Source organism: Homo sapiens, chromosome 15, assembly GCF_000001405.40.
Source record: "Homo sapiens chromosome 15, GRCh38.p14 Primary Assembly".
Taxonomy (NCBI): Eukaryota; Metazoa; Chordata; class Mammalia; order Primates; family Hominidae; genus Homo; species Homo sapiens.
This window is the reverse complement of record NC_000015.10, coordinates 20,592,105-20,616,176: the sequence shown is the minus strand read 5'-3', so window position 1 is coordinate 20,616,176 and position 24,072 is coordinate 20,592,105. Positions and strand designations below refer to the sequence as shown.

Genomic DNA, 24,072 nt, shown 5'->3' with positions numbered 1-24,072 from the left:
CCCCTCCACTACCTTCTTTATGTGGCTCTTGTCCTGCAGGAATATTGATTCCCTCACCTGGTCACCCCAGGGCCAGGCACCGGACGGCTTGGGGTGGCTCCCACATCACACCCATCCCCCTGCTCCCTGGGGACAATGTCACCCTAACCCACCCTCCCGCCCTCTCAGCTCCTGCCACATCCAGTTGGGCATTGGGTCTTTCTAGTTTTGCTGTTTTTAGGTCAAAACTATCAGTTTTTTATATCCTTTTTTTTTTTTTTTTCTGAGACGGAGTCTTACTCTGTCACCCAGGCTGGAGTGCAGTGGCATGATCTTGGCTCACTGCAACCTCTGCCATCCAAATTCAAGCAATTCTCCCGCCTCAGCCTCCCGAGTAGCTGGGATTACAGGCACCTGCACTGAGTCCGGCTAATTTTTTGTATTTTTAGTAGAGACGGGGTTTCATCATCTCAGCCAGGCTGGTCTGGAACTGCTGACCTCGTGATCCACCCGCCTTGGCCTCCCAAAGTGCTGGGATTATAGGCATGAGCCACCGCACCCGGCCAGTTTTTTATATTCTTAAATATATTTCAAAGTTTTGTTTTCTCTCCTGAACCAGGTCACCTGTCTCTTGCCCTGCTCAGCACATCTTTCGTCTGAACTCAGATAATGCCTCCTCCCTCTGGAAAGTCTGTCACCCCCTCCTTATACCGAAGTGAGTAGCTTCTCAGTACCAAATAGAGGACTTTGGGGACATGACTTCTTCCCATGTCTCCTTTTGAAACTCCTAGTGTTCTTCTATCCAACAAAGATTTCCTTATATCGACATAGTCCTCACTTCGCATAGTAGTCTGTGACTATAAGAACGACCATGCAAGCCAAAACTATAAAGTGATCTTAATAATCAGTGGAGAAAATCATGAGTGTTCTGCAACCTTTGAATTTTTTTATCCACACGTTAACATGTCTCTTACCATTGCATATTGTCTTCATATGAACACATGAAAACGAAACTCAGGAAAACTGATATTTATTTCATATATTGTAATTTAAAATCTTTAGACACACCGATAGTTCAAGCTTATTTCTTTATAAAAATGTATTAAAAGCCAGGCTTGGTGGCCCCTAGCCTGGCTTGGTGCACCTCCTGACCAGTGCAATGTCAGCACCCACAGAGGCAGCACCACAGTGCCCTTTCCTGGAGGTCTGAATGGTACTTCCGAGGCTGTCACTCTTCCTTTCTTTCCTGCACTTTCCTCTTTGTTGGCCAATCCACTCTTCCAGTTTTTATCTTTGTAACATTCCGAGTGGTTTTATTACTAGGAATCTAAGAAGCAAGATGACTACACGTGGTGTTGTCTGTACAGGAACCGAGCTGTGCATGCGGAGGGAAGGGCCCTGCAGATTCTGAAGGGAGTGGTGTGGTTGGTCACCGATCGCCACGTGCTCCTGGTGTTCATGTAGAGGCTGGTGGGCAGAGGTGCTAGGAGCGACGTGTGCACTTTGAAGGCACAGTGATAACTGGAGTTTGAACTGTTATGTAAATAAACTGTGAGCATTCAGTGCAGTGAAATCTCTCTAAGAATCCCCTTCATGTCCAACCAACAGCCCCCGGGCTGCATGCAGCCCAGGACAGCTTTGAATGAGGCCCAACAAACATTTGTAAACTTTCTTAAAACATTATGAGGTATTTTTTGTCATTTTTTTTCTTTAGCTCATCAGCTTTTGTTAGTGTTAATGTATTTTATGTGCAGTCCAAGACAGTTCTTCTTCCAGTGTGGCCCAGGAAAGCCAAAAGATTGGACACTCCTGATAAAGTGTTTTGCTGGCATCACTGGGCGCTGTGAGAATCGGAGCCTGCAGAGTGAGGACTGCCCAGGGGTGTGGCATCTGCACAGTTACAGCTGAAAATGCCGTTTCCCACAGTGGGGTTTACTGTCCACTGGGGAAAGTGATGAGAAAAGTTCACCATGTAACTTTATTCTCAGGTGCGACTAAATCCCGGACACATCCTGCTGTTCTGACACAGCTTCACCTCATGCTCTCACTGGGGCTGCATGGACCTTGAACCCTGCCCCATCAGCTTCTCCATTCCTCCTGGTTTGTCATGAGTCAAGTCTGATGGCCTCATCCACAAAACCGATCCTCTTCTCTTTCCACTTGTCCTTCCTCATCTCAGTCCTCAGAGCCCGTGCTGCCCCTGCCTCTGCACTTCGCAGATTAGTGAAAACTGCCATTTCTGGATCTTTCCAGTTAGACATAAAGTTCCACAAGGTCCAGAACTGCCGTAGAATCCTCATTTATAGACTCTGACTTTGCCATCTTTCCCTTAATACTATAGATGGCACCAGCATTGACCCAGCTACTCATTCAGGGAAGCCACTCAAGAAATGGATGACAAATTCCGTTGCGGCTTCTGCCATGGGACTAGTCCCCGATTCCTTTCCCCATTGCTGTTGCTTTAGTGAAGGCGGTCATCTCTTTTTCAGGTCTCTGGTTCTGGCTTCCCCTTCAGCCACCGTCCACTCTTCTGAAGCATTGCTTCTTTGACATAAGTCTGATACAGCACATTCAGGCCTTACATGGATCACTTTACAGACTCCCCAGTAGCCACAGCAGGATCTTCAAGGAGGGTGTGTACAGCCCAGGGAATGCCCAAGATGATCTTTTAAAGTGTGGAAAGGAAATTGTGAAAACTCTAATTACACTGATTTTCACCTAAATAAGAATTTTTTAAAACAATACTAGTGTTAGCTTAGTACATGATAGTATATGTATCTAATGCACGCTCATGTACAAATGAGTTACGATGTTCAAAATATGTTTACTGCTTGAGTTACCCCAAAAGCGTAAGGCAAAACTAGAACTAAAATAGGCATACCTTACAGTAACTTGTTTAGATTTGCAACAATAAACATAGTAGGAATCACATCCCAAATGTGTTTTCCATGTCCCTGTTTCCGTACCCCCAAAGTGCTGAGAAATGCACAATTACAGGTATCAGTGTCATTCAAGGACGTGGCTGGGGGTCCGCCAGGAGGATTGGCAGCGCTTGGGCCCTGTTCAGAGGACCCTGTACCGCGATGTGATGCTGGACAACTGGAGACACCTCATCTCGGCACGAGCGGACTTGACGGCATGCATTTTCTTTTTTTTCGAGACACAGTCTCACTCTGTCACCCAGGCTGGAGTGCAGTGGTGTGATCTCAGCTCACTGCAATCTCTGCCCCCCAGATTGAAGTGATTCTCATGCCTCAGCCTCCCGAATACCTGGGATAACAGGCATGCACCATCACACATGGCTAATTTTTTTGTGTTTTTAGTTGAGACGGGGTTTCTCCGTGTTGGCCAGGCTGGTCTCAAACTCCTGACCTCAGGTGACCCGTCCACCTCGGCCTCCCAAAGTGCTGGGATTACAGGCATGAGCTACCACACCCGGCTGCATTTCCTTTTTAATTGCAATGCATGTAGACCCTCTCCTGAGCTCAGGGCTGTTCAGTCCCGCGGATTCCCCCTGCATGGCCTGGGGTTCTCCTCCTCGGGGTATGAGTCTGTCTATGTGGCTAATAAGCCAGTGCTCATCTCCTCTGTCAAGTGTCGTGCGTGTGTGTGCAGCCATCCCCCTAGGCCTAGGGCAGAAACCCTGCTGACCCAGTGGGGTAAAGGGGAGGCACCTAAAACACTCTTCCCACAGTAGCCACAGTGAGTCTGAAAAACCTCACACCATGCGCTCTCCTGAAAGCCCTCCTGTGGCTGTTCCTCTCACACGGCAGAGACAACTCCCTCGCCCACATCCAGGGGGCTGCACACAGGCTGGCCCTGTTACCCCGACTTCAGCCCTCTCCGCTCACTTTCATTGACACTTGAGCCACAGGTCCTTCCTCCTGGGAAATAGCGGGCCACTCTGCTCTCCAGGCATTTATCCCTGCTGTCACCCCGGCCTGACATTCCCTTTCCACACACAGCCATGCTCTCCAGGCATTTATCCCTGCTGTCACCCCCGCCTGACATTCCCTTTCCACACACAGCCACGTCACCATCCTCACTCCCTTCAGAACCATATCCCAATGTCAGCCTTACATAGCTCTTGCCATCACTTTCTCGAGCCCCTAGCTGGCACTCCATGTCCCTCGTCCTGCCCTTCACCTGCTCCACTTTCCTCCATGGAACTCCCTGATGATGTGCCACGTGCTCTACTCATTCATTTTGCTTTTTTCCTCTGTCTGCCCAGCTGGAGAGAATTTTGTGCTCAGCAAAAATGTTTGTGGCTCGCAAAGGGTGTGGCCGTGTTCTAGCCTCCCTGCCCCACTGGGACCGCGTGTCTCCCTTTGCCCCTCCCCTGTCTGCTGTGGGTGCAGAAGGCTGTCCTTCATGTGTTGACTCAGTCTGCCCTGGGGCTGGGCCCAGAAAGCCCCAAGCCCAGAAGCCATTTTCACTGCCAGTGTGGACTTGGTGGATGAGCTCAGCTACCAGAACCCTGCTGGATCATCTCCAAGAGCCAATCATCTCAGGGACCCTGAAGTCGACTGTGGAACAGCTGCCAACACAGCTTTGAAATGCTCAGCAATATGAAGAGTGCTGACAGCCCCTGCCTGCTGAGGCACACGGGGCTATGGTATTTCACTTCTATTACAGTAACATGACTTTAGTTGAGGATGGGATGAAAGAATAAAGATGCAGCCTGGGCAATATAGTGAGCCCCCATTTCTACAAAGAATAAAAAATTTATCCAGGCAAGGTGCACCTGTAGTCCCAGCAACTCTGGAGACTGATGGAGGATGGCTTGAACTTGGGAGGTCAAGGATGTAGTGAGCTGTGATCATGCCACTGCACTCCAACCTGGGTGCCAGAGAAAGACTGTCTCAAAAAAAAAAAAAAGAGAAAGAGAGAATAAAAAAAGATTAATTCATCATCTTGGACATAAACAATACTTTCTTGAGTGTTACTCAGATGTGTTTTTACTTCCTGCCCTTCCAAGAAAAATACTGGTAATGGCTCTGCCTCTTTCAGCTTGGAGAAGACAGCCAGGCCAGTGAATATGGAACTGTTAGGCCTGAGCAGGCATAAAGGAAATCTCCATTGTGCAGTGTTTTCAGCATAGTTAGTTTGGGATGAGTAAAGGTGTGTGGGGTAATTGCCATGCTTTTTGGCAATCGGGCATGCAAATGGGAAGGTCACAAATCACCCAGTCATACCACTTTGGACAAAGAAATCGGGAGTGTGCATTTCTTTTTCTTCTTATTTTTGCTTTGTTAGAAGTGAGTGTTCACTTTATCTCTGAAGGCATGTGATTGTTATGAAGTCAGCAGTGATGATAGCTCTTTACCCCAAACTGCCAAGGCCAGGGATTACATCAATCATCTATATCCTGAACATGGTGCCTAGCATTCGGCTGGAGCTCAGCGAGTATTTGTTGAATGAATGAATCAATCCCATTTCACCTTCTTGCCAGCTCTGGTCTGGGTGGTCGGTACTTTCCTTTTTGAGTACTGCACGGACCCAGGTTTCTGGAGTCTGGACTCAATGGCTTATGTGGGAGCAGCCTCTTCCATTCTGCAGTGGGGATTACTATCCAGAGCCAGGTACAGGCCCCAGAGGAGGGTGCACTGGGGCCACAGGCCCAAGGCCATCCAGTTCCCTTTGCCCAGCTGGGGTCTTGTGGAAGAAGAAAGCCAGTGTCCTGAAATTATTCCTTCCTCACTGCCATCTATACTGGAAATAATCCCAAGGGATTTAGAATAAGCAAAATCAAATTCTGTCATTTCTAAATTTTCTAAGATGAACACGTATAGCTTTTATACACAGAAAAACCATATTAAAACACAAACACACGGCCGGGCGTGGTGGCTGATGCCTGTAATCCCAGCACTTTGGGAGGCCGAGGCGGGTGGATCAGGAGGTCAGGAGATCGAGACCATCCTGGCTAACACGGTAAAACCCCGTTTCTACTAAAAAATACAAAAAAGTTAGCCGGGTGTGGTGGCGGGCGCCTGTAGTCCCAGCTACTCGAGAGGCTGAGGCAGGAGAATGGCGTGAACCCAGGAGGCAGAGCTTGCAGTGAGCCGAGATGGCGCCACTGCACTCCAGCCTGGGCGACAGAGCGAGACTCCATCTCAAAACAAAAACAAAAACAAAAACAAAACACAAACACACATACAACTTCGCTGGGTCTTGAGAAAGCTTGTCACTGGGGAGGTTAATGGAAATTGTACACTTTTCTCTGTTAGCTAGTTAAAAGTCTTTAAAAATCCTGCCTCAATTTAACCTTGGGAAATGGAACTTTATAGGTGGTTCAGGAATGTGAAGATTCACACATCACAAAATATTTAAATGTATTTGACGTGTGATAAACATGTAAATATCATAGTGCTGTGACTTTGCTTATGAGTTATATATTTCTAATCATTTTAATGTTATCACGATTTTTTAAAAAGTTCTTTTATATGATAGTTATTATTTGGGGTTACTGTGTAAGAAAGCCATTTAGCCACCAGAGGGCGATGTGACACAGCAGAAAGTAGGTCTCCGTTCGGCTGAAACCTTTACTTTTCAAAACGGGAAATCACCAGCCTGGCCAACATGGTGAAACCTAAAAAAAATACAAACATTAGCCGGGCGCGGTGGCAGACGCCTGTAATCCCAGCTACTCAGGAGGCTGAGGCAAGAGAATCGCTTGAACTGGGGAGGCGAAGGTTGCAGTGAGCCGAGATTGTGCCACTGCACTCCAGCCTGGGCGACAGAGCGAGACTCCGTCTCAAAACAAACCAAAACAAAACCAAAACAAAACAAAATAAAACACAACAAAACGAGAACTCAAAATGGAATTCTAAGGAAGTGGTCACTTTTATATATGTCCATGTTAAAGTTCTAGAGCTGTTGATAAATATAAAAACAATAATGGTAAGTTATTCCAGTAGGAGATGTTCATTATTTTCTTTATTAATGCTTAATGTTTTTCAGTTCATATTTCAAATATATGTATTCTATATGAAATTTTCATAAAATGGAGAATGGCATGCTATCTAAAATGTAAAAAACACATATACATGTATATATACCCAGATATCTAGATTTTGCTGTTGCAATTATAGAAGAAAACAATGACCTCTGTGCCATTAAAAAAGCGTTTGATTTTTCCACATTTTTTTCTCTTTTCCTTAGGGACTCAGAGTTGCAATGAAGTGGTTTTTGAAGGTTCTGTCTTGTAATATTGTTCTGCTGTATAGAAACTCAAAAAGACTTTGTAACAATAGACCTTATTAGAATTAACTTACCTGTATTTTTACTTTATTTTTGCGGAAGACCAGAGTTTCATTATTATTCAAATCAGACTTCTTGAGCATTTGTTTTGTTTTGTTTTAAGATGGAGCCTCGCACTATTGCCTGGGCTGGAGTGCAATGGTGTGATCTCAGCTCACTGCAACTTCTGCCTCCAGGGTTCAAGCGATTCTCCTGCCTCAGCCTTCCAAGTAGCTGGGATTACAGGTGCCCGCCACCACGCTTAGCTGTTTTTTTGTATTTTTAGTAGAGACGGTGTTTCATTATGTTGGCCAGGCTGCTCTCCAAATCCTCACCTCGTGATCCGCCCGCCTCGGCCTCCCAAAGTGCTGGAATTACAGGCGTAAGCCACCGTGCTCAGCTTAAGTTTTTAGAGACAATTTGACGGGTAGGGGCTAGAGAAGTGGGGAGTGCTGATTGATCAAGTTGGAGATGGAATCATAGGGGGTCGAAGTGAGGTTTCCTTGCTATCTTCTGTTCCTGGGTAGGATCTCAGAACTGATTGAGCCAGATTACCAGTCTAGGCGGTGTCAGCTGATCCATCGAGTGCAGGGTCTGCAAATTCCTTCCCGAGGTTAGTTCGGCCTATGCCCAGGAATGAACAAGGACAGCTTAAAGGTTAGAAGCAAGATGGAGTCGGTTAGGTCTGATCTCTTTCACTGTCATTATTTTCTCAGTTATAATTTTTGCAAAGGCTGTTTCAATCCCTCCCTTAGGGTTTCATAGCACCTTATTCTTAAGGTGTGGGCTATGAAGATGGGAAAAGGCCGTCGATCACTCTGGATTCTTCCTGCAGACAGGGGGCATAGTGGGGTAGGTGTTGACCCCAAGGTGAGAGGAGTGGAACTGCTTTGCAGCTGTCTGAGCTGTTTGAGTGTACTCACGCAGGCCAGGCTGAGCTTCCAAGGCTTTCATGACAAAGGCATTCGTATTCTCATCTACAGTTTTAGTACGACATTTACACAAACAGTGTACAATAAGGTAAGTAATGAGTTCCGGAACAAGGAGTGCCATTCCCAGTTTTAAAAGTAAAGACTTAAAAGCATTAGTTTGAGCACTTGTAGCCTCCCAAAATTTAGGATTCAGTCTAAATGGCAGAAAAAAACATCCTCAAAAACAACTAACAACAGGTGTACTGTAGTTTTTGAAACAATTTTTTCTCTCTTCAGTTCTTATTTTTATTAAAAACAAATCCTGATAGGACCGATTTTGTTTGTGAAATAAACTTTAATTTTATTATACTTGGCATGATTATTTGCAAAGAGCACAGCAAGAATAATTATTTTTCACATGGGCCTTTTAAGTTGGCTTTGATGGAACTCTGCATAAAGAGTCTTAGATAGACTTTTTTTAAAGCCCATCCCAGCCATGGGTTTGTACCCTCAAATGCCTATGAGTTGGGTACATTCCCCTCTTCTTGAGATCCCAAGATAACTTAAGATTCCGGGGCCTTTTGGAAAGTGACATTCTTTACTTACCATACGTTAGGAACCCTGTACAGGGACTGCGTAGACAAGGTATGAGGCCAGTTTACCCTAGGGGTTTTTATTGGCTTTGTAAATCAAGTTTGATTCCTTAAACAAAAGCATGCCATCCCAGTCAAAACCTTAGTAAAATAAACAGTTTCTCCAATTGTGTCCTGTTGCAAAAGAAAACATTCTTATTGCACTTATGCAAATAATTATGTTGCCATAAATTAAGAATACTTGCAAATAGCTTCCAGATTCTTGAGAAATCAGGTAGAGAGAAACAAACATGCTCCAAATTTTGTTCACAGGAGTATATTTTTCTCAGTTGTTAAAAGCTGTAATCAAAAGAAAAGTTTTCTTGGCTCTCTGAAAAATGAAAAGGAACAGCCACATTTTAAGCAAAAAAAAAAAAAGGAAAAGATTAGTTCAGTTTTCTATTAGTTCATTCCATTCAGTAAACTCTTGTTCTGCTTAATGTTCCTGAACAAGTCAGCTCTCCATGAGAGTCCTGAACGTTTTTTCCTTTATTCTAATGTTGCAATCTCCAAAGCTATCAGAAACTTGCATTCAAGAGCACCCATCCAAGTTTCATAGCTGATTATAAAACAAGAAAATTTTTAACCTCTGTGGCACACAATAATTTAATGTATCAATTATAATTATTACTGATAACATATGCTAAGGCATATCAAACTTATAAGAATCTTATACAGTTTTGAAACACATGCTAATAACGTATTTATATGAATATAACCCAAAGAAAGTTAAACATCATTTTATATTTGGCCATGTTTTCTGCATGATTTTAATACATTAAATAAGCAGATTATATCTTTTTGGACTGTAGGGGACCTATTTTTGTTTAACTTCTAATTTGATCTTGTCAGGTTTGTCAAATATGGTTTAAAACACTGGATGTCACAAAATAGAATGCCAGGTCACCATAAGTCAGTTATTTAGCCAAAATGATAACTCACAAAGTTTTAAAAAGGAAAAAACCTTTAGTTTGATAGAAAAGAGACTCAGCTTCTCAAACTACAAGACCCAGTGAAGCCGTCCCCTGAATTGGTCACTTCTCTCTCCCCTCCCTTAAAAGGCAAACAAAATTTTTTCATTGCTTCTCAATATTACACAAGAATCTTTTTCAAAAGAGAAAACCAAATTTCATGTTTGCATTATTGCACCTTTAATGCTAAAGCTAGTTTTTATTAAAATTTTATAAATCTATCCAGTTTTAATTAGTTTGACCATAAGTTAATGTTCTTATAAACCTTTTATAACCCTTTACAATTTAGTTGTTGTTGTTACAGAGCAGAACCATGTTTTAAGAAAACTCTGTTATGCTTTTATTCCAATGTTCAACTTATGGAAACATTGACTAATACCCCTTTAACTTTAGCCAATATGTTTACACACAGAATCTCTTTTACAATTAATTTTTTATAAACTTTTCACAACTTGCTTAAACCTTTAGGCCGGGCGCGGTGGCTCACGCCTGTAATCCCAGCACTTTGGGAGGCCGAGGCGGGCGGATCACGAGGTCAGGAGATCGAGACCATCCCGGCTAAAATGGTGAAACCCCGTCTCTACTAAAAATACAAAAAATTAGCCAGGCGTAGTGGCGGGCGCCTGTAGTCCCAGCTACTTGGGAGGCTGAGGCAGGAGAATGGCGTGAACCTGGGAGGCGGAGCTTGCAGTGAGCCGAGATTGCGCCACTGCACTCCAGCCTGGGCGACAGAGCGAGACTCCATCTCAAAAAACAAAAAACAAACAAACAAAAAAAAAACCTTTAGACTTTTCCTGTCTCACTTAAAACAATAACCCTCTAAACTTGGGAAAGAAATCCATATTCCCAGGTCTTCTTATAATCTTTTACCAAAAGTACATTCTACTTTTCTTACATGCCTTGAATGTGGAAATGTTTCTTCAGTAGCCTCAATACATGTTACACTGTTAACTCTGTGCAACTTCTATTTTTGGTGAAAAACCTGGTTAGTAGGACATTTTAATTATGTACCAAGTGTGGAGCTTAGGACAGACAAAGGACAGAAGTGCAGATCAAGTCTGACTTTTTCCAGCATAGCTATGGGATGTGGCTATCTCCACATATGCCCAGCACTTACCTAGCAGTAACGCAGGTAAGTGTATAGTTAAGAGTCACAGTGGCGTTTGTGAAGCATTTAGGCAGCCTAATAACCTTTAAATTGTACAACGTTTCTTGCATAAATTCCCTTTCATGAATCCTTTCATGGCTTAGACCATCTATTACATGCTTGGACAATGGTCATTTCAACAACCAGTCATTTCACTTTAGGACAAAAATTTACCATACAAGATCCTTTCTTATACAAAATCTCTTTTCTTTTTAACCTTCTTTGAGCAGCTAGGGGGCTAATTTCACATGTCACCGGGCCTTATCTAGAAAGTAATGACTCCAAGCTAGGTAAATTGAACAATTTTTAAAAGTTAAAGAAGCAGTTTATGATCTTAAAGCATTTAGCAAACCTAACATCAGACCCAATTTAGACCAAATGTCTAAATTTTGAAGACATTTTATTTTACCAATTTTTTTTTTTAGACAAAATCTCACTCTGTCACCCGGGCTGAAGTGCAGTGGCGCAGTCTCAGCTCACTGCAAGCTCCGCCTCCAGGGTTCACGTCATTCTCCTGCCTCAGCCTCCCGAGTAGCTGGGAATACAGGTGCTCACCACCACGCCTGGCTAATTTTTTTGTATTTTTAGTAGATATGGGGTTTCACCGTGTTAGCCAGGATGGCCTTGATCTCCTGACCTCATGATCTGCCCAGCTCAGCCTCCCAAAGTGCTGGGATTACAGGTGTGAGCCACTGTGCCCAGCCTATTTTATCAATAATTTTTAATCTGTCTTTATTACCAAAAGATTACTAAAGTTAGGTGAACTAAAGGGCATTAGTTTTAATTTTACTGACAAAATATTTGACTTAAGTGCCTACTTTTCTTTAAACCAATTAATTAGAGCTTTTATGTAAACATCACACACAAAACATATATAAATACATAGACAGACAGAAGATCCAGTAGTTGTAAGATTTTTCATTTGCCAGTTCTTAAGTTTCCTAGTGGGATTACTAGATTCAGGCTGGAGCCCTTTGAAAAATAGGGCTGGGAAAGCATGCAATTTCTAGGGCCTAATAAGCAGGCACAGCTGGAAGGCAAAAACAGATCCCCCAAATTAAGGGTGCCATTTTATATGGGATCCTGGATTCCCCCCAAAAAGAGGGAAATACTACAGAAGAAGCTAGTGCAGTGCTTCTACCCTGCATTTTATTGCAAGACAATCCAAAGCCAATCAGCCCATTTTGTAATCAGCCCATCCCCCATGGGATTCTCATCTCTCAGTGGGGGATAGGGTTGTTTTCATACCTTCTAGGTGGTCAAGAGTGTGCTTCTCTGATCCAAGCATGCAAGGAGCCAAGTATTCCTCCTAATTGCCATTAGCAGTCCCTTATAGTGTATTTCCTATCTGGTTATTATAAACCATGGCTAAAAGCTCTCCCATAATGTGAAGCAATTTCTGATATACCCAAAAGTAAAAAAAAAAAACAAAAAAAGTCAGGTAACATAATGTAAAATTGAAAATTGAACCGAGACTTAGATTTTGAGGGAGATCTATCAACTTTCAGCTCCTGGGGTTTCATGAGGAAAATGGAGGTTTTTCCCAGAATGGGGTCTGTGATGCCTCCTCTGTTTTTCCCTATGAGTCCCAGGCTGTTAGAATTTATCTAGGTTCTCTCAGGTGTGCTTTAAGCATGGCAAGAAGAAAAAATGGAGAAAATCAATTCAGAAGAAAAGAACTTATTCCAGAAAGACATGAATCTAGAAGAGGAAAAGATAAAGGCCTTTTAAATAGATATAGTTTGAGTACTTTTATTTATTTATTTATTTAATTTTAAGATGTGGTCTATGTTTTCCAGGCTTGTCTCAAACTCCTGCTGAAGCAATCCTCCTGCTTTGGCCTCCTGAAGTACTGGGATTACAGGCATGAAAATAGATATCTAGGGTTACCCCACCCAACCCTGGATGTCTATTTTTAATTAAGCCACTTTTAACCATAGAGCTCTGCTGTTTAAAAAAAAAAAAAAAACTTTCAAAATCCCTTATTACCAGGCTCTAGTGAGGACACCCCACATTTCTGGCTTTTGAATTCTATACCAGGTAACCTCTCACATGAAATTAATAAGTTTTAACTAAGGTTATAACTTAACCATGAACTCATGATGTGTTTCAAAGAGATGGTAAGTAGTTTTTTTTAAACAAGAGTTAGAATTTCCCCAGGGTAGTTCACAGAAAGGAAAATTCAAGACAGGAAATCAGAAATTATCCATAGAAAGGGGGGAATCCCTCAAAAAATGGCAGTTACACAAATAACAAACAAGAAGGGAATCATTCCCAAAGCCAAGAATTGAACCTGGGGCAGCCACTGTCAAAAGACAAAAGCCTTGGTTATTGAGCTACATCATTCAGCAGGTTCTGTTGCTCTTCCCAGAAGGAGCCTAGAGGTGCCAATTTTGACCTTGCAAAAGCTTCTACCTGCTCAAGATAATTTTTAGTGCTATGACATGAATCCCCAAATTCCTGTCCGCTGAATGGCAGACACCAAGAGAAAGTATCCCCACATGGTCACAAGGTTAAGCTCTCAAGGGCATAAAACGAAAAGATGGAAACTTTATATGGCACTGGTCTTGGGGACCCCCAGCAAAGTTTGTAAATGACCAGCTGCCAGGCTGGCTTGAAAGGCAGGCTTATAGGGGTCCTAAGCCCACCTTCTCTCCTGTGATACCTCTCTCTCCATTAAAGAACAAAGCAGAAAGATAAATTCTTAGCACAAAGTGCTCCAGATTTGCTACAGCCTAAGACTAGTCTCACAAATCCTTTTTTCTATTTGTAGAAAAGAGAAAACAGAGGAGAGAAGACAAACAGTGATATTTACCATTTGCATTCACACGCACACACACAAACACACAGAGGGAGAGGGAGGGAGAGAGACAGGGAGAGAGAGAGAAATATGAGAAACTTGGTTGGTAAGAATTTCTTACCCTTTTTTCGCCAGCATACCAGGTTTCTGGGTTCCCTTTCTCTGCAGCTTTCAGAAGAACAGAGCAGCTTTGATGACCTTGCTCAGTGTAACATAGCTATGGGAGCCAAGTTCCATTACAAAATAAAATTATGCTTTTCTGTTTGATGGAACCATAGGCATAAGCTTCCCAATTTTGCAAGATGCTGTTCAACAGGCTGCATGGGGAATCAAATTAATATTTTCCATCCCAGCCAAAGCAAAATACATGTAGCAAAACAGACGCAAGTCACTTTGTTCAGCACCAGTGTTGACCTGGCAAGGCTCAAACTTTCTCCTGTTGGCCCCTGTTATCTTTGATCCACACCAGGTGGGAATGGATGATCTCCAAATGGTAATTCAGTGTGTAACCTCTAGGCAAGACAACAAACCTGACAAAAACAAGCAATGGGGAAAGGATTTCCTATTTAATAAATGGTGTGAAAACTGGCTAGCTATACACAGAAAACTGAAACTGGATCTTTTCCTTACACCCTATACAAAAACTAACTCAAGATAAAGTAAAGTCTTAAATGTAAAAGCCAAAACTATAAAAACCCTAGAAAAAAATGTAGGCAATACCATTCAGGTCATAGTCATGGGCATATATTTTATGTTGAAATCGCCAAAAGCAATTGTAATAAAAGCAAAAATTGACAAATGGGAACTAATTAAACTAAAGAGTTTCACGCAGCAAAGAAACTATCATCAGAGTGAACAGACAACCTACAGAATGGGAGAAAATTTTTGCAATGTATCCATCTGACAAAGGTCCAATATCCAGAATCTACAGGGAATTTAAGGAAATTTACAAGAAGAAAACAAAAGACCCCATTAAAAAGTGGGCAAAGGACATGAACAAACACTTCTCAAAAGAAGACATAGATGCAGCCAACAAACATAAGGAAAAAAGCTCAACATCACTGATTGTTAGACAAATGGAAATCAAAACCACAATGAGATACCATCACATGCCAGTCAAAATGGCAATTATTAAAAAGTCAAGAAACAACTGATGCTGGTGAGGTTGGGGAGAAATAGAAACAATTTTACACTGTTGGCAGGAATGTAAATTAGTTCAACCATTGTGGCAGACATTGTGGCGATTCCTCAAAGATTTAGAATGGGAAATACTATTTGACCCAGCAATCCCATTACTGGGTATGTACCCAAAGAATATAAATTATTCTGTTATAAAGATGAATGCACTTATATATTCATTGCAGCACTATTCACAGAAGCAAAGACATGGAATCAACCCAAATGCCCATCAGTGATAGACTGGATAAAGAAAATGTGGTGCATAGACAACATGGAATATTATGCAGCCATAAAAAAGAATGAGATTATGTCCTTTGCAGGGACATGAATGAAGCTGGAAGCCATTATCCTCAGCAAACTAACACAGGAACAGAAAACCAAACACCACACGTTCTCACTTATAAGTGGGAGCTGACCAAAGGGAACACATGCACACAGGTAGGGGAACAACACACTGTGGGGCCTGTCAGAAGCAGGAGAGAGCATCAGGAAAAATAACTAATGCATACGGGGCTTAATACCTATGTGATGGGTTGATAGGTACAGCAAACCACCATGGCACACATTTACCTATGTAACAAACCTGCACATCCTGCACATGTACCCCGGAAGTTAAAATAAAATAATAAAAAATACACAAAAGATGTGAACAGACATTTCTCAAAAGAAGACATATGAATGGCAAACAGGTATATGAAAAGGTGCTCAACATCAATGATATCAGAGAAAGGTAATCAAAACTACAAGGAGATCTCATCTCGCCCCAGTTAAAATGGCTTTCATCCAAAAGACAGACAATGGCAAATGCTGGCGAGGATGTGAAGGGAACCCTCATACACTGTTGGTGGAAATGTGAGTCAGTACAACTTCTAAGGAGAACAGTTAGGAGGTTCCTCAAAAACTAAAACTAGAGCTACCGCATGATCCAGCAATCCCACTGCTGGGTACACACCCAGAAGAAAGGAAATCAGTATATTGAAGGGATACTTGCACTCCCATGTTCCTTCTAGCACTGTTCACAATAGCCAAGATTAGGAATCAACCTAGTGAGTGTCCATCAACAGATGAAAGGATAAAGAAAAGGTGGTACATATAAGCAGTGGAGTGCTCTTCAGCCATAAAAAAACAATGAGAGCCTATCATTTGCAATAGCATGGATAGAACTGGAGGTCATTAAGTGAAATCAGGCAAAGAAAGACTAACAAACATCACATGTTCTCTCTTGTGAGAGCTAAAAATTAAACAGTCAAACTCATGGAGATACAGAGTAGAAGGATGGTTACTAGAGGCTGGGAAGGCACAGGGGGAGAGAGACGGGGATGGTTAATGGATAAAGAAGGTAATTAGAAAGAATGAATAAAACTGGGTATTTGTAGTATTTGACAGCAATAGAATGCCTATAGTCAATAATAATTTAATTGTTCATTTAAAAAATAAGGAGTATAATTGGATGGTTTGTAACACAAAGGAAAAAGGCTTGAGGTGATGGACACCCCATTTACCATGCTGTGATTATTACACACTGCATGCCTGTATGAAAGTATCTCATGTGCCCCATTAACATATACACCTACTGTGTGCCCACAAAAATAAATATTAAACTTTTAAAAAACTATGAAAATTGTAATCAAAATTCACAACGATCAATAAGTACAAAAAATGTAAATTCTATGTCTGAGTTGATGCAGGGCAAGAACATATTAAGGGGGAAAGTTAGAACTGCAAACAAATGAGTTCCTAAGAGCAAGAAACTGGAGAAATAACAGAAACTCCAGGGAGAAGTCTAGATTTAAAGATGCAGGAGATTGAGGGACTGGCACAGAGATCTCCACAAAACCAGGTAACATCTGTGTTCCAGGGAACAGAATAGAAAATGGACCCAGGGCTGTCTCTGACAGGGTGAGCAACTGGAGTGGGAAGGAAAGATCTGGGGGACCCAGGAGGGTGGAGGGACTGGAACTGGGACCTGAAGGAGGGGCTGCGCTTCAGCCTCCTCCTCCCACTGCCCCTCCCCTGCCCCCAGGAGCCCTTGGTGAGGAGGAGGCCCCAGCTCTGTGATGCAGGCCTGGGCTCCAGTCCCTAGTCCCAAAAGCGATGCCCAGGGCTCAGTTGCTTGAGGGCAACATTGCACTTCAGATGGAAAAAATGCTCTTTCCTCTGAAGAGCCCTAGTGCCACGTGGCTGGGCCCCAGCTCCACTCCCTGGATTGTGGATTTCATCCTCACCTCAGTGTGGAGCCTGGGCTTCCTCTTCCTATTAGCCCCCTACCTCCCCAGTGTCCCACCCTCACCCCCGCATGGGAGGAAGAGGAGCAGCAGGAAGGTGAGGAGCAGCAGGAAGGTAAGGAACCCTCAGCCCAGCCCCACAGAGAAAGATTCTCTCTTCTTTTCCTCCCCTCATTTCCACTTTTCCTAAGTAATGAGAGACTCTCCTGCGATGGGAAATCTCATCATCCCTCTAGGGAAGGGCAGAGCAGGCAGGGGTGGGAGTGGGCAGAGGATTCCATCCTCAGCTCCCAGACTATCTGTGACATGCGCGGGAGGCATCAGGGCAAAACCCAACACTGGACTCAGTGGCGAGGACCAGATCAGGAGAGGGGTGAGGTCTCTGTGGGAGGACAGGCCCCAGCTCTGGCTCATCAGCCCCTTTCCAAGGCAGGTGCCTGGGGGTCCAGGCTCCTCTGTGTGGGGTGATCTGGGAGCTGTGCTGAACCCCTGAGAGCCTCCCGCTAGAGCCTGGATTCACGTCTGGCCTCCTCTGAAGCAGAATCCTACTGGCAGCTCAGAGGTGCCTGTAGGCCTGAGCCTGGGTATGCCTTCAGCGGAGGAGAAGGGACTGGGGATATCCAGGGTGGAGTCACACAGAAAACCCCTGCTTGCATTTCCCTAAGAAGGAAAACAGAAAACATTTCATCAATGGTAAACATGAGTAAAAGAAACGCACGCAGAGCTCCCTGAGCTACAGGCAGAAAGCCGTGTCCTTCAAGAGCACTGCGTGTGTGCAGCTGGTCTGGGAAGAGGAGACTGAGAACTGGTCCCAGCCCCTCACCCTTGCTTGCCTCTCGGCATCAAAGGAAGAGATAGGGGAGGCCCAGGAGCAGGAAGAAGATCCCAGCTCTGAATTGTGAGGCCCTACTAATCCCTGAGACTCCCCAGAGGTGACTGAGCATCGTCTGTCCCTGAGGGAATCATTTGCAGAGGCCTGAGAGGGAAGCTCCTGGGAGGGAAATCAGAACCCGGGGCCTCCTCATATTCCCTGTGGGAATGAAGCCATGGGCCCGGGAACCGGTATTGCCCATAAGGGGGCGCTGTGGGGAAGGGACCAAGGCCTGCCAGGATATGGGGGGAGGTCAGGGAGACCCCAGGTCCACGTGGACAGCTGTTCTCCTCGGCCATGGCTGACTCTTCTTAGAGACCACCCCATCCACTCTCCCCACAAGATGGTTGTGACACCCATGAGGGGTTGTACATGGAAGCACTTTTTGCAAATGACAAAGTTCTGCACAATGCACACCTTGCTGTCACCATTGGGGCCATGTGGCCTTGGACACAGATGCATGGGCTTCAGGGTCTAGTTCCCCATGGTGTCCCCTAAAGAGACATCCACCACTCAGCCTCCCATGAGGTTCGCTGGCACCGCCCTCCCCGCCATAACTCTGTCTCCTTACTTCCAGCTTGCAGAATCCTCCTGAGGGAGCTGGAGGAGACTCAGGACCTGACCAACCTTCTGGAAAGATGAGATTCCCCTTCTCTCCATGTCGTCCTTTCTACCAGGGCCTCTGAGGCAGCCCCAGGGTCCAGTGTTGACCTGGGAGGGGGAGGTCCTGGGAAGAGGCGGGAGTGGACTGAAGCCCTGGGCAGGCACAGACAGAGCTCTGTGAAGCCAGCAGTGGGGGAGGTGGAGGAGCTGTGGGCACCAGGTGCCCAGCCCTCCCGACCTCCCAACCCCACCTGCCCCTGGCTGCAGCTTGTGCCTTGTGCAGCCACCTGAGAAAGCTCACTGGGGAGGGTGGCTCCCATCTGCCCTTAGGTGGAGAGCCCTGGGTGATATGTACAAACCAGCTCCTGCTAAGGCCCACCAGCCGCATAGGAAATGCATGCAAGATCCATCTCCTGACAGCTTGTCCCCAAGGACTCCCCCAGTTCCTCTGGCCTCCAACCTGTCACCAGACACAATGACCTTCTCAGAGCCTTTTGGACCACGCTCAACCCTGAGTGCCTCCAGGCCTCCAGAGCCCTTGCTTCCCCTAAAATGCCCTGCAGTCCGGCCACATATGCTTTTCCTTCTTCACCACAGCCCCATGTTCCCGTGGCCTCCTCTCCACCTCCACCCGAACACAGCCTGGCTGGACTTCAGTGTGGCTCCACAATACGCCCTGTCCCCCAGAGCTCCCCTCTACACAACCAGGGGCCACCTTCTCCAACCAGGGTGATCTCTGGCCTTGGGTGCTCCAGCGGTCCCATCCGGGACCTCTCCCGCTGGAGGGAGGCTGCCACCACCTGGGGCCTCTCCACCTGCTCACAGGGCAAATCCCAGCAACAGCATCTTCCCAACCACCCCCCAGAGGCTTCCTTCTGGGGAGACCCCACACCCAGGCAGATGGAGGCAGGTGGCCGCACATTCTTCCATCCCAACGTGCAGAAGCTGCTGGAGACTCATCTCCAAGAGAGCAGTGATGAAGATGTGGCAGGAGAAAGAATGGGGGTGGGCAGACTACCCGCAGATGACATCACTGGGGAAGGAGTGGGACATCACGACTCTAAATCCCTTCTGGAACGTGGCAAACCTACCACAGAAGCTGCCCCATCCTCAGCAGGTCTCTGACGCCATGGCCATGTGGGACCACTTAGAGCAGAAATGCAGCCATCTCTTCTGGGATCTCCCCTCTTTCAATAGCGAGTCCCTGGTGACCATGGCCTGGGTTTCTAGGAACATTTCCTCACAGAATGAGCACTCTGTACCATCGGATAAAGCCTCCACTTCCCTTCCAGGTGAAACTGAGGTTGAGACACCCTCACAGCTTTCCCAGGCACGGCCCCAGCCCCACCACGTGGCCCAGCCCCAACCTTTCACTCCAACCTGGCCCCAGTCCCAGCCCCCGCCTCTAGCTGGGATCCAGACACAGTGGGGCAAATCTCAACCCCTGTCCCAACCTCTTCTCCACCCCAGATTAGGGTCTGTGGAGCATCTTGCCCTACATCCCAGAAGAGGGCACAGTCTGTCATCCCCACTGGAAAAAAGTATCTTGAGTGGCCCTTGCAGAAATGACCAAAGTGGAAGAGGGTTTTGCCCTCTCTCCTCAAAAAGTCTCAGGCTGTCCTGAGCCAGCCCACTTCCCACCTTCCCCAGGAGAGGCCAGCCTCCCTGAACCCTAAGTCAGCCCCCATCCTTCCCGGGATTGCCACCAGCCCTGAGCTCCCAGAGCACCGGTGGCAAGGAAGGAGTGCCATCCACCAGGAGCAGTCCCGTGGCCTCCCAGCAGATTCAAGGCACCTGGAGACCTGCTGCAGCCTAAGGGGGAATTCCCAGGGAGGCCCCAGAGTCAGGCAGAAGCCACGCAGGGGGCCCTCTTGCCCTCCCGGGATTCTGAATTTGTAGGAAAGGGCACGAAGGATGTGCAGAAAGCAGGGCTCAGGAGCTCTGGAAGGTTCTCTGGGAAGGGGTGCTTAGGGTCCAAACTAGAGCCAGAACCAGGATCAAGGCTCAGGAAGGACTTCAGTGAAGGTTCTGGAGAAAGACAAGGAGGAAGCAGAAGGTGATTTCAGGAGGCCCTGGAAGTACCAATCAGTAAGTTCTGCACCCAGGGACCCAGAAAAGCAGCATCTGGAAAACAAGCCACAGGTCCATCTGGACAGGAAGGTGGGGGAGATCAAGGAGGGCTGGATCCCTGTGTCTGTGCATCGCTCCTAATTCATGGCCAAACATGCCATTCCCAAGTCTGACACCCACAGGAAATCGAGAAAGGTGACATCCTGGAGGGGTGGGAAAGCCCACGTGAACACCTCCCAGGAGCTGTCCTTCCTCCATCCCTGCACCCAGCAGATGCTGGAAGCACATCTTTTCAAGTTCTGTGTGAGGCACAGGTGGGGTCCAGAACTTCAGTCCTTAGAGCCCATAAATGTCTAGTCAGGGGAGGCTCAGCCTCCACCCCTCCCACACTCCACCATTCTCCCCTGGGCCTCCTGGGAATCTCTGGCTGAATCTGTAGCCAAGGTTGCCATTTTGTCGGGAAAACCTCCCCAGAATGGTCCAGGAGACAATAGAACAACAAGCAAGTCAGCCCCCACCATGAGTGGCCCTGTCCCTGCCCCACCAACTGAGCAGGAGGAAGTCCAGAGGGTCCCAAGAGGGTCCCAGTCAGCTGACACCCATGAGCAATCAGAGGCCTCTCTGACTGGACAGGAGGGCAGGGCATCTTCTCAGTCCCCCATATGCAACCTTGTAGGCAGAACCTGGCAGAGAGGGACTGTCCTGGGGTCCGGGAAACCCAGACTCGAGGGGAGTGTGGGTTCAGAAATGGCTGGGAATGAGGCATGGCTTGAGACTGAGAGCATGTCCCCAGGAGACCCCTGTCATAGCAGAGCCCTGCAAGAGCTCAGCATGGGGTCCCAGTGGGCAAGGGCCAGAGATGCCCTGGAGGCACTGGAGGCCAAGGAGGAAAAGCCCCCTGATTGGAAAGTCACCTTGGGAGCCAGTGTGAGGGCAAGATCAGGAAGTGTTCAGGTGGATCTGAGGAGCACAGGGACTCTGGGGACCACTAGTAACCCCTCAGTGTCTACAATCTGTGTTGCTCAGGATCCAGGGCAGCTGTGCCTGAAAGCACAGGTTGTCAGTGAGATTGCGCTCATAGTGCAGGTGGACTCAGAGGAGCAGCTGCCAGGCCGTGTTTCCAGCATCCTCCTCCAGGAGGGCGCCACAGGCCTGTGCCTTCCAGGCCGCCATGTGGACATGCTCCCAGCCACATACAGGCCACCCACTTAGGCCCTTCTGTCCACCTCCCAGAGTGTGCTCAGTAGGAGGAACACGACAGCTTCCCAGGGGCCATGTGCCCTCCTATGGAAGGGAGGGGACAGACTGGGGCAGCAGGAACCTGGGAGCCCAAAAGTGAAGGCCCCACAGAAGAGTCAGAAGATGCTGGGCTCTTTGGACAAGGGCAAGGCCCACAGGAGGCCCAGACCAGGGGAGCAGGGACACAGGTCCAAAGGACCCAGGACCTCCCAAGCCAGTGGGAGGAGCCACCCTGCCCACACGAGGGAAATAGGAGACAAACAAGAAAGGAAATACAATCAGCCTCAGCCAGAGAAGGGACAGGCACCACCAGAAAGCAACTTCCAGAGAAAGATCAGTCACCGTCCACAGGGTCTACATCCCAGGAAGAGGGGCTCAGGGCAGGAAGACGTCCTGCAGAAAGGCAAGCCTGGGCAGATGCTGTCCAGAGCTGGGGGTCTGGCCCAGCAAGGTTGTTTATGGACAGCATGGCTGATGAAGCCCAGACCATCATCAGAGTTATGGGGCAAATCCTGGTGGACAAACTGGGGATTCAGCAGGGACGTGGTCCCTCAGAGGTCAGTCGCCACAAAGGCGACCTCCACGCCCAGGAGAATGTGGCTTCCTGCTGCCACAGGAGTCACTACTACCAGGAACATAGCAGAGAGATGGGGCTGGTCTGCAGCCCCAAAGCCACCCCCAAGGGCCACAAATGTCCTGTCAAAAACAAGGGCATCAGAGACAGAGACAGCAGTTGGGCCCCCACCTCCCAGGGAGCTTGTGTCCCCAGCTGGTCCCCACCACCACAGGCCATGAGTGGCAAGCACCTCGGGCAGCCCCATCCACAGCTGCAGGAACTGAGGTCTACACAGAGGTGTCTTGCCTCCTGAACCAGACCAGGCTTCCCACACCTCTCCTGGAGGAGACAGGGGGTTCTATCCAAATAACACTGGACGCCTACACAACAAACCTGTCCTGCGTGGGTGACAACAGTCCCCATGTGTTCCTGACTTCCACGGAGAAGTTCCCAATATACCTGTTTTCCCTGCAGAGGTGGTGGCTTCTGTCTGTTCCATGCTAGGCTGCAGGCAAGGGCTCAGTGTCAGCTCCTCCTGAGTGCGGCTTCCAGAATGGCTGGGCCTAGAGGAAGCTGACAGGGACCTGGAGGACCCCCTTTTCTCCCTGTCCCCACACTGTGTCTGGTTTCCAAACTGGATCATGACCCAGAGCCTTCAGGATATGTAAGGACAGCAAACCTTACGGAGATCCCACCCGGGCTCTGGCTCACTGCATTCCCTGTTCTAAGGCGACTTCTGTGCTGCTGTAGGGGATGGGTCTACAGGGGCGTCACGGACTGGGGGGTGGTAGGCTCCCCTCAGGCTGGAGGAGTGATGGATCCCAGCAGCCTCCCTGCCTCACAGTAGCCTGGGAATGTAGGGGGTGTCTTGTGCTGGCCCTGGGTCAGAGGGGGGACTGCTCTTTCTGGGATCTCCTGGTGGGGAAGAGATGACACCCTCCCCAGACCCTTTCCTGACTGCTGAGTTCCGGATCTGGGATGGACCTGGGCCCCTCCAGCACTTGGCTCAGGCTTGATAACACCCCTGGGTTCATGTCTGGTGTCCCCTGCCTCACTCTCCAGGGCAGTCTCCCAGCCCACTAGTGTGGGGTGTCTGTTTCAGGAGGCACCTAGGGCTGCTGCCTGCCCCTCTGGAAGGACTCTGTGGTCAGGAATCACAGGAGGAGACCTTGGGGCCCAGGGTGAGAGGTGGGAGAAGAATCAGGGAAGACGAGCATAAGTTTGCAAGTGCAGGATCCACAAGCTGCCCACAGCTGTAACCAGGGTCCTTGCAGTCTGGTGACCATTACAAGCAAAAGTGGTCAGTGCCACTGCCAGGGGAGGGGGACCCAGAAGGCAAGGGCTGGCCTGGGTTACAAAGCACATCTATGGTTCCAGGCCCAGGTGCTGGCAAGGGACACATTGGGGCTCAGAGAATCTGGTCACATGGTTGGCAGGGACAGTCCCCACAGGGCCCAGTCCTGCACTCCCTTCGTCCTGGTACTGGGTCCTTCCTGGCCATCCCCAGGGAAGGCAGGAGCAAGGGCAGGGCAGGCAGGAGCCAGTTCCTCAGAGGGCTCTGCCCAGGGGCCTTCTGCCCAGGGAGAGCTCTGCACCTGCAGGGGCTGCGGAGGCTGAGGACAAGGTGTCAGGTCTGTACCCAGGCCTGGC

The 24,072-nt window shown here is 47.3% G+C and overlaps 1 pseudogene; it reads left to right on the top strand.

Annotated features, from left to right (window-relative positions):
* On the top strand, positions 18,829 to 22,814 carry SPATA31E2P (SPATA31 subfamily E member 2, pseudogene; annotated as a pseudogene).